The following is a 16,305-nucleotide window of genomic DNA, read 5'->3' as shown; positions in this document are numbered from 1 at the left end:
GTAGGAGTTCATGTCCAGCCTGGGCAATGTAGCGAGATCCAGTCTCTTAAAAAAAAATAAGGAAGAAACAAAAAGAGTTGACAAGAAAGGCTCTAGTAGCCACCACATTCCATTTTGGTTTCATCTTACTAGAATTTAGTCACGTGACCACAACTAACTGCCAAGAAGGCTAGGAAAGTGGCATGTATTATGGGCATTGGATACCAGCTAAACTGTGTAGAGAGTATGGATGGGCCTGGGCACAATGGCTCATTCCTATAATCCCAGCACTTTGGGAAGCCAAAGGCGGGATGATCGCTTGAGCCCAGGAGGTCGAGGCTGCAGTGAGCAATGATCACCACTGCACTTCAACCTGGGCAACAGAGTGAGACCCAGTCTCGAGAAAAAAAAAAAGTATGGGTGGATACTGGGAAACAGCAAGAAGTTTTTGCCACCCATTAAGTGGATTTTATAGTTTTCTTACCTGATACAGACTAAGAGCATTAAAATAACATTTTGCCTAATGGCTTTAACAGCCATGGATGATTATTTTTCAGATCTATTATTTCATTAGGGATTGCAAAATGGTAGTGTTCTAGTTCTAACATTTTTGGTTTTTGGGGATTTGTGTGGAGATAACATCCCTCTTGGATTTCAGGGTAGTCTGGGGGAACATAATTAACATGGGGCTAGCTCCTGACGTTCCAGAAGAGAATGGAATGTAGAATTAAGTTCTGAAAGTGTTTTCAGTTGTGTTGATTCATTCTGCACACCCTTTTAAAGGTAATGAAAATGTGCACAGCCTCCTGAAACTCCCTGGCACAGTCCTCCATTCAGAGAAGTCTTTTCTAATTCTTTGGTGACTCAGTTTCCTTTAGTAGCCTTTGATTTGCCATCAGTTATAAAATATTTTGTTTTGTAAACAAATTTCAATTATTTTTCTTCAGAGGCCTCCTAATGATTTGCCTCACTCTATGAACTCAAGTTGTTTAGCCAAGGCACCTTGTCAATGCTTTCCAACCAAAGTAAACAGGTTAGATTTATTACTTGTAGCATGGGGTGACTCAGTAGGAGGATTATTTGGGGCAGGGTCTAAGGAAACTGTTCTGTTGAGATTGGATACTCTCAGAAAGCAGGATCAGTTATACTATTGGCTGCTCTACCATTGACTGCCTCAAATTTTTTCTATAGGGAGGGCAGACAAGAGTAAGGATAAAGCTGTCATTGGTAAAGAAGTCAGCAGTCACTCATTTTAGTGGAGATAGGATGTTTGGGTACTTTGTACGGCACGATGCCCTTGTATTTTTCTGTGGTTAGGCAAAATTCTGAAGTGGCCTTATTTAGTCTTACTTTATCATGGTCTCTGAGTAACCTTTCTGATCCAGTCTCTAAAAAAAAAAAAAAAGAAAGAAAGAAAGAAAAAAACAAAGGGTTGACAAGAAAGGCTTTGGTAGCCACCACATTCCACTTTGGTTTCATCTTACTAGGATTTAGTCACGTGACCACAACTAACTGCCAAGAAGGCTAGGAAAGTGATTATGTCCAACAGAAGACTAACTGGTATAGCTGTGGGTGCCAGGCCAGCTTTTTATCAGGGGCTGCTTTTTTTCCTTTATCAACCTTAAACTTCTCCCTAATTAGCACCAAGGCAAATTAATAGATTTTGTTTCATTCAATTCAGAAATCATGTATTGAGCTTCCTCACAGTGTCCCCTCCCCTGAAGCTGAATGGATAATGGCTTAGTCAGGCTGGCACCCCAGTCTGCCCCAGATGCGGATTTAATGACTGTATATGACCTAGGGGATCAGCTTTGAGGCAACTAGACCTTCCTTTTCCTTGCAACTCTGTGACCCGTCTTTCTCGAGGTGTGCTGTTTTTTGCTTTAGTTTAAAATTTCCAGCTTTTTGGTGGGTGCTATAGTCAAATACAAAACCTAAACAAGTAAGGGAATTGATCTATTCAGGCTATTACAATAGGAAAAGCACTCCAAATCCAAAGATCAGAGTCTCTTGGCAGGGTGGTTTTGCCTTAGACTTTTATAGAGAGGAGTATACAAGTTACAGGTGGAGGACTTACATGTGGGATTGTTTTGCAATCAGAAGTCTCAGTCAGTTGCCAAACAGGAAATATTTATCTCTGTGTCATGCTGGTTTTAGGTGGACAAAGAGTTCTAATAGAGAGACAAAGAATGAGGAATTGGGCTGAGCATGGTGATGCACATCTGTAATCCCACCACTTTGAGAGGCCCACACAGGAGGATTACTTGAGCCCAGGTGTTCAAGACCAGCCTAGGCAACATAGCAAGACCCCGTCTCTACGGAAAAAAAAAAAAAAATTGTAAAAAAGAATGAGGAATTGAAGGGTCTGTGTCTGGTCTTGTCCCACTGGGATGGGATAATCTCATGGGATACCATATACTATGGTGTATGCAGTTCATGGGTGACCAAATCATTGTTATGTGATGCATGCCTGTAATTTGTAAAATTCCTTGCAGGTATACAATTTATTGATTAAACAATTGGAAGTTTGGAGAAATATATTATTGTGCCATTCATCTAAATTTCTCTTTTTTCCATACACTGTGTATCTTTTCCTTTCTTTTATCCCTTTGGGTTAAGGATGTTTTAGTTTTAAATGAAATAAATCAAACTAAAACTAGCATAGTGAAAAAGCAATTGTAGTGATCAACAAAATAAGCCCAGGGATAGAGCTGGCTTTAGCCATGATCATGTAACTAGTTACAGTCTAGGGATTAAAATGCACAAAGACCATACCTCATATTTCTTTTCTTTTCTTTCTTTTTTTTTTGAGATGGAATGTCACTCTTGTTGCCCAAGCTGGAGTGCAATGGTACGATCTTGGCTGAGATCAGGAGAATCACTTGAACCTGGGAGACAGAGGTTGCAGCAAGCTGAGATTGCATCATTGCACTCCAGCACTCCAGCCTGCGCAATAGAGCCAGACTATGTCTCAAAAGAAAAAAAAAAAAGGAAAAGGAAAAGAAAGCACTAATCCAACTTCCTGTCTGGAGACAGGACAAACCTAGGAATTCTCTCCCTTTCTTCGCCATTCCCATTTTGCCACTCTCAAGATAGACTAAGAGTCAGTTGATATAGAATACTAACCTGTATTTGGTTGCAGGAGTAGAATGCAATTATTAAGGCTCAACAGCTTTGTTCCTTTTTTAAAAAAACATAAACATGTTGCTTTGGCCGGGCGTGGTGGCTCACGCCTGTAATCCCAGCACTTTGGGAGGCCGAGGCAGGAGGATCACAAGGTCAGGAGATCAAGACCATCCTGGCTAACACGGTGAAACCTGTCTCTACTAAAAATACAAAAAATTAGCTGGGCGTGGTGGCGGGCACCTGTAGTCCCAGCTACTTGTGAGGTTGAGGCAGGAGAATGGCGTGAACCTGGGAGGCAGAGCTTGCAGTGAGCCGAGATTGCGCCACTGCACTCCAGACTGGGTGACAAAGCGAGACTCCATCTCAAAAAAAAAAAAAGTGTTGCTTTGTTTTTTAGAGGCAGCGTCTCACTCTGTCACCTAAGCTGGAGTGCAGTGGTTTGATCACTGCTCACTGCAGCCTCAACCTCCTGGGCTCAAGCAATTCCCCCACCTCAATCTCCCAAGTAGCTGGGATTACAGGCGTGCACCACCATGCCTGGCTAATTTTTATTTTTTGTAGAGATAGAGTCTCACTAGGTTGCCCAGGCTGGTCTCGAACTCCTGACCTCAAGTAATCCTCCTGCCTCAGCCTCCCAAAGCATGAGCCATTGTGCCCAGCCAAGGCTCAATAACTTTGACGAAGCCTGAGTCAAAGTGAGAAGAAACAAATAGGTCACAATGGTATTTAGAGAGAAGCCTAGAAATACTTTGAGAACCAAAAATAGTATTTTGAAAGCAAGTAAAAAAATATAAAAAAAACTATGAGTTCATAGTTACCCTCCTTCTACCACACACGTGCTCCAAAAAAAGAAACCGTATTGTTTGATTTTGAAGGTTGGTAGGGACCAATTTGTAATTCTGAAAATTGGTAAATAAAAAGGAAAAAAGCATTTATTCTGTTATTCCTGTACTAACTGCATTTCAGGATAATCTGATAGAGGAAAAGCTCTTCTTTATAGAACAATACCAGCTAATAAATGCAAAAAGGAATATTAGAACATTACCATTGTGCAATCCCTAACGAAATAATAGATATGGGAAATGATCCTCAATGGCTTCTAGGTAAAATGTTAATGAGGAACTTTTTTTTTTTTTTTTTTTTTCCCAGACAGAGTCTCCTTCTGTTGCCTAGGCTGGAAGTGCAGTGTGGTGCCATCTCGGCTCACTGCAACCTCCGCCTCCCAGGTTTAAGCAATTCTCTTGTCTCAGTCTCCTGAGTAGCTGGGACTACAGACATGTGCCACCACACCTGGCTAATTTTTGTATTTTTAGTAGAGATGGGGTTTCACCATGTTGGCCAGGCTGGTTTCGAACTCCTGACCTCAAGTGATCCACCCGCCTTGGCCTCCCAAGGTGCTGGGATTACAGGCATGAGCCACCATGCCCAGCCGATGAGGAACTTTTTAATGGATGGATTATACTGAAAAATATCTGTACTCATCTATAATCTTAACATCACCAAAAGCAGGATATGCAGACATTACATGCCTCCTGGTGTGTTGCAACAGGAAGTACATATGCCCATCTATGAATTATTCTTGCCAGAAGAATTGAACCTGAATCTAATCAAGAATCTAGATCTAACTTACTGGTTAACAGGAAATGTAGGAAACAGAGGAACAAGTTAAATGAAAATACAGTATATGATCAGCCAATTCTAAAGTGTGAGAAATCCTATAGGACAAATAGCAGCTTGCTTGCTTGCTTGCTTTCTTTCTTTCTTTCTTTCTTTCTTTCTTTCTTTCTTTCTTTCTTTCTTTCCTTTCTTTCTTTCTTTCTTTCTTTCTTTCTTTCTTTCTTTCTCTCCTTCTTTCTCTTCTTTCTTTCTTTCCTTCTCTCTCTGTCTGTCTCTTTCTTCTTTTAAGACTGGGTCTCGCTCTGTCACCCAGGCTGGAATACAGTGGCATGGTCACAGTTCACTGTGGCCTCAACCTTCTGGGCTCAATTGATCCTCTCACCCTCAGCCTCCCAAGTAGCTAGGACTACAGGCACATGCTACCACAATCAGCCAGTTTGTAAATAGTTTGTAAAGACAGGGTCTCCCCTTGTTGCCCAGGCTTGTCTCAAACTCCTGGCCTCAAGCCATCTTCCCGCGTCAGCCTCCCAAAGTGCTGGGATTACAGGCAAGAGCCACCACACCCGGCCTCTTCCACTTCTTAAAAGGACACTAATTCCATCATGGGGTTCAACCCTCATGACCTCATCTAAATCTAATTACCTCCTAAAGGCCCTACCTGTAAATACTATCACATTGGGATTTAGAGTTTCAACATGAATTTTGGGGAACACAAGCATTCAATCCATAGCAATAATCCCCAAAACTGAAAGTTTCTCAAAGAGATATTTATGCATACATGTTCACAGCAGCATAATTAACAATAGCCAAAAGGTGGAAGCAACCCAAGGGACCAACAGTGGATGAATGGATAAACAATTTGTGATACATACATACAATGGAATATTAATTCAGCCTCAAAAAGAAAGGAAATTCTGATATATGTAACAACATGGATGAAACTTGAGGACATCATACTATGTGAAATAGTCACAAAAGGACTAATACTCTATGATTCCACTTCTATAACCTAGAATAGTCAAATCCATAGAGACAGAAAGTAGCATGGTGGCTGCCAGGGGTCAGAGAAAGAAGGAAATAGTGAGTTATTGTTTAACGGGTGTAGAGTTTCAGTTCTCCAAGATGAAATGAGTTCTGGATATTGGCTGTACAACAATGTGAAGGTACTTAACCATTTTATGTATGTATGTATGCATGTATGTATGTATGTATTTTTGAGATGGAATCTTGCTCTGTCGCCCAGGCCGGAGTGCGGTGGCATGATCTCGGCTCACTGCAACCTCCGTCTCCCAGGTTCAAGTGATTCTCCTGCCTTCAGCCTCCTGAGTAGCTGGGATTACAGACATGCGCCACCATGTCCAGCTAATTTTGTATTTTTAGTAGAGATGGGGTTTCGCCATTTTGGCCACATAGTCTTGAACTCCTGACCTCAGGTGATCCACCCGCCTCGGCCTCCCAAAGTGCTGGGATTACAGTGTGAGCCACCACACCCAGCCAGTACTTAACAATTTTAAAGTGTACAGCTCAGTAGTGTTAAGATAGTCAATTTTATGTTATGTACATTTTACCACAATTTTTTTAAAGGTGAGGGTAATTGTTATTGATTAAAAGAGAATTAAGGTACATATCAATCAAATGCCATATATGGTCCATGTTTGGATCCTGATTGCAGCCAATCAGCTGTAACACAAACAACAAAACTTGAGATTCATTATATAGAATACTGCAGCTCTGCTCAGCTCAGCCTCTGGGGAGGTGTGTTGACTTTGTCATCTGACAGATGGAAGCTTCAGTCTTGCCTTTGTCACTTAACCATGTAGGCTTGAGCAAGTTACTTGTTTTCTGTTTTTAAATTTTTTTATTTCCATAAACATTCATTGACTCTCTGGGATGTGCTTATTATCTATTATGTATTAGACATTGACTGTGCTCAACAATAGAGACATAAGGCCGGGCGCAGTGGCTCACGCCTGTAATACCAGCACTTTGGGAGGCCGAGGTGGGCAGATCACGAGGTCAGGAGATCGAGACCATCCTGGCTAACACGGTGAAACCCCATCTCTACTAAAAATACAAAAACATTAGCTGGGCGTGGTGGTGGGTGCCTGTAGTCCCAGCTACTTGGGAGGCTGAGGCAGGAGAATGGCGTGAACCCGGGAGGCGGAGCTTGCAGCGAGCTGAGATTGTGCCACTGCGCTCCAGCCTGGGTGACACAGCAAGACTCCGTCTCAAACAAACAAACAAACAAACAAACAATAGAGATATAAAGATAAATAACAGGTTGGGCACAGTGAATCACACCTCTAATCCCAGCACTCTGGGAGGCCAAGGTGGGAAGGAAGGCTTGAGACCAGGAGTTCAATACCAGCCCAGGCAACATAGAGTGACCCTATCTCTACAAAAAATTCAATTAGACCGGGCGCAGTGGCTCACGCCTGCAATCCCAGAACTTTGGAAGGCCGAGGCAGGTGTATCCTGAGGTCAGGAGTTTGAGACCAGCCTGGCCAACATGCCAAAACCCCATCTCTACTAAAAATACTGGGCATGGTGGCGGGGGCCTATAACCCCAGCTACTCAGGAGGCTGAGGCAGGAGAATCACTTGAACCCAGGAGGTGGAGGTTGCAGTGAGCTGAGATCATGCCATTGCATTCCAGCCTGGGTGACAAGAGTGAAACTCTGTCTCAAAAAAACAAAAACAAACAAACAAAAAACAAATACAAAAAAAAATAAAATATTAGCCAGGCATGGTGGTGTGCACCTGTATCCTAGCTACTCTGGAGGCTGAAGTGGGAGGACCATTTGAGTCCAGGAGTTCAAGGTTACAATGACCTGTGATCAAACCACTACACTCCAGCCTGGACAACAGAGTAAGACCTTGTCTTTTAAAAAAGTCATAACGTTTAACTCCACCATCCAGAGATGATGGTGGTTATCATTTTAGTGAATTTTGTTGAAAATTTTTACATCTTATGATTTTTTATTTTAGTCTTAAAAATTATTTTATTTTACAGACAGGGTCTTGCTCTGTCACTCAGGCTGGAGTACAGTGGCTCAATCATAGCTCACAGCAGCCTCCCACGCTTGGGCTCAAGCAATTCTTCTGCCTTAGCCTCCTAGGTAGCTGGCACTACAGGTGCAAGCCACTATGCCCAACTAATTGTTTTTTTTTTTTTTTTTTTCTTTCTTTCTTTCTCTTTCTTTCTTTCTTTCTTTCTTTCTTTCTTTCTTTCTTTCTTTCTTTCTTTTCTTTCTTTCTTTCTTTCTTTCTTTCTTTCTTTCTTCTTTTTCTTTTTTTTTTTTTTTTTTTTGAGAAGGGATTCACACTGTGTTGCCCAGGCTGGTCTTGAACTCCTGTCCTCAACTGATCCTACTGCCTCGGCCTCCCAAAGTGCTGGGATTGCAGAAATGACCCACTACACCTTTGGCTTTCTTCTAATCTTCTGCCTTCTAGGTCCACATGGTCAACCTATGGTTTTGTCCAGCACCAGACTGGACAAATGTGTAAGTTAGCAATGCAGACATCATTGAAGATTTTGCAGGGGAGACAGAGGAAGGGGTTTGAATTGCACACTTCACAGCAGGAACATAAAGGCCACCACTGGGTGGGCGCGGTGTTTCACGCCTGGAATCCCAGCACTTTGGGAGGCCGAGGCAGGCAGATCATGAGGTCAGGAGTTCGAGACTAGCCTGACCAACATGGTGATACCCCGTCTCTATTAAAAATACAAAAATTAGCCAGGAGTGGAGGCGCTTGCCTGTAATCCCAGCTACTCAGGAGGCTGAGGTGGCAGAATCGCTTGAAACCGGGAGGCAGAGGTTGCAGTGAGCTGAGATTGTGCCATTGCACTCCAGCCTGGGTGACAGAGCGAGACTCTGTCTCAGTCAATCAATCAATAAATGCCTCCGTTAGCCATTCCCAGTGTCCCTGGGATTCCCTTATCAGTTATTCTCTGCCTCCTCTCTGCTTCAGCTTCTCCCAACACCACCCCCTTCCCCCATCTTCCTCATTCCTTCTCAAGAGCAGTCAAATAATTCTTCCCCTTGTCTCATATGAGCAACACCACCCTCCTCTCTGAAGCTTGGGTACCAACCAAATCAGGCTTCCAAGGCTTATCTTCCACCTAGGGGCAGGCTAGCAAAGCATCTTCTCAGCAAAACTTTGTCTGTCCACATATAGATTTCCCATTCCAGCTGTTAAGGAATAGTATTCTCCATGCCATCACAGGAAGGCTTTAGGCAAAGGACAGACAGTGAGATTCATGTCCTAGATAGATCAGTGTAGAAGGTGTGGAGGGTGGATTTGTAAGTGCAAGACTGGAGACAGGGGGACTAGTTGGTAGGCTGTTGCAGTAGTCTAGGTGAGTGATTGTGAAATCTTGAACTAGAGTAGAAAGGATTTGAAATATTCAGATGTAAAACAAGCAGAATTTGGTGATTAGAATAGGGAATGGGGTGGAGGCGGGGAGGAAATAAAGGTAGCCTCCAATGAATCCTGCCTCCTAGTATTCATACTTTCATGCAACCTGTCTCCTGAATGTGGGATAGACCCAGTGACTTGCTTCTAATGAACAGAATGTGGCAAAGGTGATGGGATATCCTGTCTACAATCAAGTTATAAGTGACTCTGACTTCTCTTTTGCTGATTTTCTTTCCATGGCTCATCTTACATGCTCAATGTGATGCAGAGGGCCACCTGTTCAAGGAACTAAGGGGAAGGAACTGAGGGCAGCCTCTGGCTAATAGCCAGCAGGAATGTGTCCCTCAGTCCAACAACCCTCAAGAACTACCACCAAACACTATAGAAGCTTGGAAACAGATTCTGCCAGTTGACCCTGAAATGTTCGTGGCCCTGACTGACACCTTGATTGCAACCTTGTGACAGCCCTGAAGCAGAGGATCTAGCTAACCCATGCTCAGATTTCTGACCTATAGAAGCTACGACATAAGAATTTTTTTTTTTTTTTTTGAGATGGAGTCCTGCTCTGTTGCCAGGCTGGAGTGCAGTGGTGCAAACTTGGCTCACTGCAACCTCCGCCTCCGGGGTTCAAGCAATTATCTGCCTCAGCCTCCCAAGTAGCTGGGATTACAGGCATCTGCCACCACACCCAGCTAATTTTTGTATTTGTAGTAGAGACGGGGTTTCACCATGTTGGCCAGGATGGTCTTGAACTCCTGACCTTGTGATCCGCCCACCTCGGCCTCCCAAAGTGCTGAGATTACAGGTATGAGCCACCGAGCCCGGCCAAGAAATTTGTTTTAAGCCACTAAGATCTGAAGAAATAGTTCAGCAATAGATAAATAAGGTAATAGGTGTATAATAGTGTTTAGTAGATGAAAATGTCATTTTTCATCCATTTTCAGCCAGATTGTTACCTTAGACCAGAATATTTCAAATTGCAGGCTGCAATCCATTAGTAGGTCATGAAATCAATTTAAAGGGTTGTAATCAACATTAAGAAAAATTGGGCTGGGTATGGTTGCTCATGCCTGTAATCCCAGCATTTTGGGAGGCCAGGGCAGCAGGATCACTTGAGGCTAGGAGTTCAAGACCAGCCTGGGCAACACAGCAAGAATCCATCTCTACAAAAAAATAAAAAATTAGCTGAGCATGGTGGCCGGTGCCTGTATTCCCAGATACTTGGGAGGCTGAGGTGGGAGGATTGCTTGAGCCTGGAAGGTTGAGGCTGCAGTGAGTCATGATTGCACCACTGTACTCAGCCAGGGTGACAGAGTGAGACCTTGTCTCAAAAAAAAAAAAAAAATTGAAGTAGAATAGGGCCAGGCATGGTGGCTCACTCCTGTAATTCCAGCACTTTGGGAGGCTGAGATGGGAGGATCACTTGAGGCCAGGAGTTCGAGACCAGTCTGGTCAACATAGCAAGATCCTGTCTCTAAAAAAAAGAAAAGTAGAATAGAATAAAATAAAATACATAGAACATTGCACTTAGTAAAGGTAAGTATTGTTTCCCAAAACTTTTGTTTTCATTCATTTATTTATTATTTATTTATTTATTTATTTATTTATTTATTGAGATGGAGTCTCGCTCTGTCGCCAGGCTGGGGTACAGTGGTGCAATCTCGGCTCACTGCAACCTCTGCCTCCAGGATTCAAGTGATTCTCCTGCCTCAGCCTCCCGAGTAGCTGGGATTACAGGCTCGTGCCACCACACCCAGCTAATTTTTGTATTTTTATTTTTATTATTTTATTTATTTTTTTTTGAGACGGACTCTCGCTCTGTTTCCCAGGCTGGAGTGCAGTGGCATGATTTTGGCTCACTGCAACCTCTGCCTCCCGGTTTCAAGTGATTCTTCTGCCTCAGCCTCCCGAGTAGCTGGGACTACAGGCACGCACCACCACACCCGGCTAATTTTTGTATTTTTAGTAGAGAGGGGTTTCACCATGTTGGCCAGGCTGGTCTCGAACTCCTGACCTCAAGTGATCCACCTGCCTTGGCCTCCCAAAGTGCTGGGATTACAGGCATGAGCCACTGTGCCTGGCCTTGTTTTCATTTATACACATACCTGTGTATTGAGTCATGATGTCAAGGGAATTTCTGATAGTGGCTCAGTATCAATCAAATTCGAAAGCCAGTGTCCTGGGCTTGCTTTTCAGATTGGGGTGATGGATTATTTCCTAGTCTTCCAAGGTTCCCCTCATGATTGGTGGAGATTGTGGTTGCCCAATTTGACCATAGGGCCAAGCAAATCCACCTGGCACCAGTTGACAGGACCCAAGCAGTATGTTTCCTTAGGAAAGCTAACATTCTCTGCACTAAGTTAAGGAGCCAAAGGCAAAATGATGGCACAGAAACCACCCCTCCCCCTTTTTTTTTCTCAGACGGAGTCTCACTCTGTCACCCAGGCTGGAGTGCAATGGCATGGTCTCGGGTCACTGCAATCTCCGCCTCCTGGGTTCAAGCGATTCTCCCACCTCAGCCTCCTGAGTAGCTGGGACTACAGGGCCATGCCACCATGCCCGGCTAATTTTTGTATTTTTAGCAGAGACGGGGTTTCACTATGTTGGCCAGGCTGGTCTCGAACTCCTGACCTCATGATCCGCCCGCCTCAGCCTCCCAAAGTGCTGGGATTACAGGCGTGCACCACCGCCCACCCCCATTTTTAAAGAAACCCCATTTTTAAAGTATAAAGCTTCTTTTCTCCCCGCCAGAGAAATTAAGGGAATTCATCAAACATTATAGCAACATTAAAAGAATTTAAAGTGGGAGAAGAGGTATGATCTGTGGTTTCCTTAATACTTCCTTTAATACTTCCTTTCTTTCCTGGATCCAGCTTTTCTCAAAATATGGGTGAGGGAAGATGATTTAGGCGAAAAGGGCACATATTTCTTTATTTAATTTGGTCTAGCTGTAATCTTCTGTTTGTTACTGCTTTTCTGGTAAAGTGGACTGGGCATGGATGTTTTTCTCTGTAGGACAAGCAGCCCAAAGCTGGTCTCCCATGGGACATATGCAGAGTTCTTCAGTGGACCTGAAAGATACAGTTCCCTTAAGGAGAAGACCTAGTTCCCTTAAGAAGATCCAGCACTGGCTCAATTACTTCTGCTAATCCCAAGCCCAGCTCCTCCCACTGCCTCTTACTGATGGGGACTTATCTGCAGGAGACAGTCCTCAAGACAATCTTCATGGGGCTCAAGCTTGGGTACCCTCCAAAGGATCCCCTGGACCATGAGCAAATCACAGCTTCTCCCCCTGCTAAACTGCAGGAACACAGACTGCTCTACTACAGCAACATCTCAGTTGCTTCGCTCCATTCTTGAGAAGAAGATCAGCTCACTTCTTCCCCTAGTTGCTCCCACCAGAAGGCCAGGTTTCCTCTTCTAGCACATCACACAGGGTTTGCCCGTCACTCTTAGAGCCTCCTTTGACTTAGGTGGGAGGCCTCTTACTCTCCAACCCACAAGGCCCAAGACCCCTTGACTCCACTGCCGAGTCTTTCTTACAGATACTTAAAAAAGAGATAGGATTGGAATTTGAATGGAATTAGCTTAGTCCTGCTATAAATCCTAGGGAGGAGGGGTTGGCAATGACTGGCATTCACTTCACAGTGTGGGGAACTTAAGTAACTCCTTTTCTCTAACTCTGGACTCAAGACATCAATTTGGGGACAATGGAAAATGCCCCATTCTAATGCTGTTGGGCATTTGCTGACCTCCTCTCTGCAATTGTGTGGCCTCTTGAGAACTTCTGTTGAGACTTCTGGGTATTCCTAGACTTAAATTGTTACGTACTATTAATTATTGAAGTTTTGTCAGCAGACCAGTCTGACTTACCAATTCACAGTCATGATGTGAGTTTTTGTTTGTTTTCAAAGAGTTCTAAAAATGCAACTTGGCCCTATAGTCAAATTGGGCAACCACAATCTCCACCAATCATGAGGGGAACCTTGGAAGACTAGGAAATAATCCATCACCCCAATCTGAAAAGCAAGCCCAGGACACTGGCTTTCGCATTTGATTGATACTGAGCCACTATCAGACATTCCCTTGACATCATGACTCAATACACAGGTATGTGTATAAATGAAATCTTAGAATTTTAAAAATTATGTATTATTTATTATTTTTTTGAGGTAGAGTCTCATTCTGTCACCCAGGCTGCAATGCCATGGTGCAACAACAGCTCACTGCAGCCTTGACCTCCCAGGCTCAAACCATTCTCTCACCTCCACCTCCAGAGTAACTGGAACTGCAGGCATACTCAGCCACACCTGGCTAAGTTTTGATTTTTTGTAGGGATGGGGGGTCTCATTATGTTGCCCAGGCTGGTCTCAAACTCCTGGGCTCAAGTGACCCTCCCAGTTCAGCCTCCCAAAGTGCTGAGATTACAGGTGTGAGCCACTGTGCCCAGACTGAATTTTTAAAATTTTAAATAATTCAGTTAAAAGAAAAAAAAATAAAAACTATAAATAAAATAGTCAGCTTTTTTCCCCCACCTTCATTCCTATATTTCATGAGAGAAGGAAGGGTTTTTGAAGATGCTTAGATTGTGCTACTAAAAACAGGAGGCATTAAAGCATTTAAAACTAAATTGGTAAAGTTAAATATTACCATACGACCCAGCAATTCCACTCTTACGTCCATACCTAAAAGACCTGAAAACAGGCTCGGCGCGGTGGCTCACGCCTATAATCCCAGCACTTTGGGAGGCCAAGGTGGGCGGATCACCTGAGGTCGGGAGTTCGAGCCCAGCCTGACCAACATGGTGAAACCCCGTCTCTACTAAAAATACAGAAAACTTAGCCAGGCGTGGTGGTGGCACATGCCTGTAATCCCAGCTACTCCAGAGGCTGAGGCAGGAGAATTGCTTGAACCCATGAGGCGGAGCTTGCAGTGAGTTGAGATAGCGCCACTGCACTCCAGCCTGGGCAACAGAGCGAGACTCCATCTCAAAAAAAAAAAAGGAACTGAAAACAGACATCCAAATATTGTATGTGAATGTCCATAGCAGCATGGAAACAGCCCAAATGTCCACCACCAGCTGAAGAATGGATAAACAAAATGTGGTATGTCTATATCCATACAATGGAATTTTTTCAGCCCTAAAAAGTCCTGATAGGGCCGGGCAGGGTGGCTCATGCCTGTAATCCCAGCTACTCCGGAGGCTGAGGCAGGAGAATCGCTTGAACCCATGAGGTGGAGGTTGCGTTGAGCCTAGATGGCGCCATTGCATTCCAGCCTGGGCAATAAGAGCGAAACTCCATCTAAAGGGCCGGGCGTGGTGGCTCACGCCTGTAATCCCAGCACTTTGGAAGGCCGAGGCGGGCAGATCACGAGGTCAGGAGATCAAGACCATCCTGGCTAACACAGTGAAACAAACCCCGTCTCTACTAAAAATACAAAAAATTAGCCGGGCGTGGTGGCACGCGCCTGTAATCCCAGCTACTCGGGAGGCTAAGGCAGGAGAATCGCTTGAACCCGGGAGGTGGAGGTTGCAGAGAGCCGAGATCACGCCACTGCACTCCAGCTTGGGCGACAGAGCGCGACTCGGTCTCAAAAAAAAGAAAAGAAAAAAAAGAAAAGAAGTCCTGATAGATGTTACAACATGACTGCATCTTGAAAACATTAAGCAAAAGAAGCTAGACACAAAAGGTCATATACTGAATGATTCCATCAATAAAGAAATGCCCAGAATAGGTAAAGCTATCACAGAGTCAGAAAGTAGATTAGTGGCTGGCTGGGGTTGTGGGGAGAGGGGAACCAGAAGGAATGACTGCTAACTGGTTTGGGGATTTTCTTTTGGGGTTATGAAAATGTTTCTGAACTATATACAGAGGTGATGGTTGCACAACACTGTGAATGCATTAAACGCCACTGAATTGTGAGTTTTAAGATGGTTTATGTTAGGCAAGTTTTACTCAATAAAAATAAAAATAAACTGAATTGGTAGCTAAGATATTGAAACACGGTGTGGAATCGTTCTCACTCATTTCACGAACCCGTAGAAAGATGCTTGCGCTCAGGCCTCACAGACCGGTCCCAGCGCGTTGGTGGGACACAACTCGGATTTGCAGGCAAGCCCAGGGGCCGGCCCTTTGCGGACTTCCTGGGGACGCAGGACTCCTGCGCGGCGGGCTTGGAGGCGTGGCCAGGATGGGGGCGGGGCCAGGACGCGGCATCCAGGAGAGGACGCGGCGGGAGGCGGGCTTCGCCGGTTGCCAGGAGAACTCGCGACAACAAAAGACGCGGACGGCGGCTGCGCGGTGTGGCAGAGCGAAGCTGAGGAGTCCAGCGCTCGCCGACAGGGGCCTGGGCTGTCCCGAGCCGGTCAGTGCTCGGCGGGCCTGGCGGGCGGTGCGGGGAAGTGGGGCGCCCTCCCTTCGCGGTGCCCGCCCTCCAGCCCGCCGCGCCCGCCGCTCCCGCGCCCCCAGCCGGCCGTTGGGACTAGTAGGCTCCGGCTTGGGGTCGGGGCCGCCGCGGGTGGGTAGCGGAGGGTGGGCGGTTGGGGCGCCAGCTAGGCCTATGGGGGCGTCCGAGGGGTCTGGGGTCGGGGCTGGGAGCCGGCGAGCGACTAGAGGCAGAGCGCCCCTTCCGGAGGAAGTTGGGTCAGCCCTGAGGAGCGGGTCCCGGGGAACACCGATCGACCGGAACGCGGGACCCGGCCTTTCAGAGCGCACCCTGTGTTCGTCTCGTGTCGCTGCACGGCGTGAGGTGCGACGCGAGGGCCACCACCACCGAGCGCTTTGTTTTATCGCAGGCGTCTTTTTCCCACCGTAGAGGTTGAAACTTGGGCGCATTTCCCACCGTAGAGGTTGAAACTTGGGCGCATTTCCCACCGTAGAGGTTGAAACTTGGGCGCATTTCCTACCGTAGAGGTTGAACCTTGGGCACATTCAAGCCCGAGAGCTCCCTCCCTCGGAGGCAGGTGACTATAAAGAGCAAAGCGCCCAGATTCTTTCTTTGAAACACCTTTTAAGTAACACCTTTTAAGTCTCCAGTGTTGAAAATCCTTGTTGTTTGCCCTTCTTTACTCTTTTGTCGTCTTTACGCATTTGGGGCCTTTTCTGAGCTCCGTATGCGATTTACTGTCCATCTACTGGCAAGTTTTTTATGAAAATAATTAACA

At 45.2% G+C, this 16,305-nt stretch overlaps 2 protein-coding genes across 31 annotated transcripts in view, besides 4 other annotated features; one reads left to right on the top strand and one right to left on the bottom strand.

Annotated features, from left to right (window-relative positions):
- Positions 1–11,991: 11,991 nt before the first annotated feature.
- LOC105376335 (serine/arginine repetitive matrix protein 1-like) lies at positions 11,992–15,976 on the bottom strand. The gene is made up of 3 exons (XM_011519284.2): positions 15,616–15,976; positions 15,179–15,523; positions 11,992–12,211 (listed from the first exon to the last, which is right to left on the bottom strand). Exons 1-3 carry the CDS (start codon positions 15,974–15,976, stop codon positions 12,075–12,077), a joined length of 843 nt encoding a protein of 280 aa, XP_011517586.1. The 3' UTR covers positions 11,992–12,074.
- Positions 14,045–14,549: an enhancer, noted in NCBI's record as "H3K4me1 hESC enhancer chr9:86537243-86537747 (GRCh37/hg19 assembly coordinates)". NCBI's record gives its function as "activates a minimal SCP1, AML or CMV promoter by ChIP-STARR-seq in naive H9 embryonic stem cells {active_cell/tissue: H9 hESC(naive)}" and the evidence as "EXISTENCE:reporter gene assay evidence [ECO:0000049][PMID:30033119]".
- Positions 15,164–15,913: an enhancer, noted in NCBI's record as "H3K27ac hESC enhancer chr9:86535879-86536628 (GRCh37/hg19 assembly coordinates)". NCBI's record gives its function as "activates a minimal SCP1, AML or CMV promoter by ChIP-STARR-seq in naive H9 embryonic stem cells {active_cell/tissue: H9 hESC(naive)}" and the evidence as "EXISTENCE:reporter gene assay evidence [ECO:0000049][PMID:30033119]".
- Positions 15,283–15,432: a silencer, noted in NCBI's record as "silent region_19980". NCBI's record gives its function as "represses an Ori minimal core promoter by ATAC-STARR-seq in GM12878 lymphoblastoid cells {active_cell/tissue: GM12878}" and the evidence as "EXISTENCE:reporter gene assay evidence [ECO:0000049][PMID:35858748]".
- KIF27 (kinesin family member 27) overlaps positions 15,445–16,305 on the top strand; it is an 87,334-nt gene continuing 86,473 nt past the window's right edge. For 14 of the 30 annotated variants that reach the window (NM_001271927.3, NM_001271928.3, NM_017576.4 and 11 more), the window contains exon 1: positions 15,445–15,506. The gene's annotated coding sequence lies outside the window, so the exon portion shown is untranslated. Of the gene's footprint in view, positions 16,105–16,305 lie in introns of all 30 variants that reach the window. The other 16 variants (XR_007061328.1, XM_047423572.1, XM_017014903.2 and 13 more) reach the window with 5 other exon arrangements.
- Positions 15,463–15,842: a silencer, noted in NCBI's record as "silent region_19979". NCBI's record gives its function as "represses an Ori minimal core promoter by ATAC-STARR-seq in GM12878 lymphoblastoid cells {active_cell/tissue: GM12878}" and the evidence as "EXISTENCE:reporter gene assay evidence [ECO:0000049][PMID:35858748]".

Source organism: Homo sapiens, chromosome 9 (genome assembly GCF_000001405.40).
Source record: "Homo sapiens chromosome 9, GRCh38.p14 Primary Assembly".
Lineage (NCBI taxonomy): Eukaryota > Metazoa > Chordata > Mammalia > Primates > Hominidae > Homo > Homo sapiens.
The sequence above is the reverse complement of the archived record's forward strand: the minus strand, read 5'-3'. Positions and strand labels throughout refer to the sequence as shown.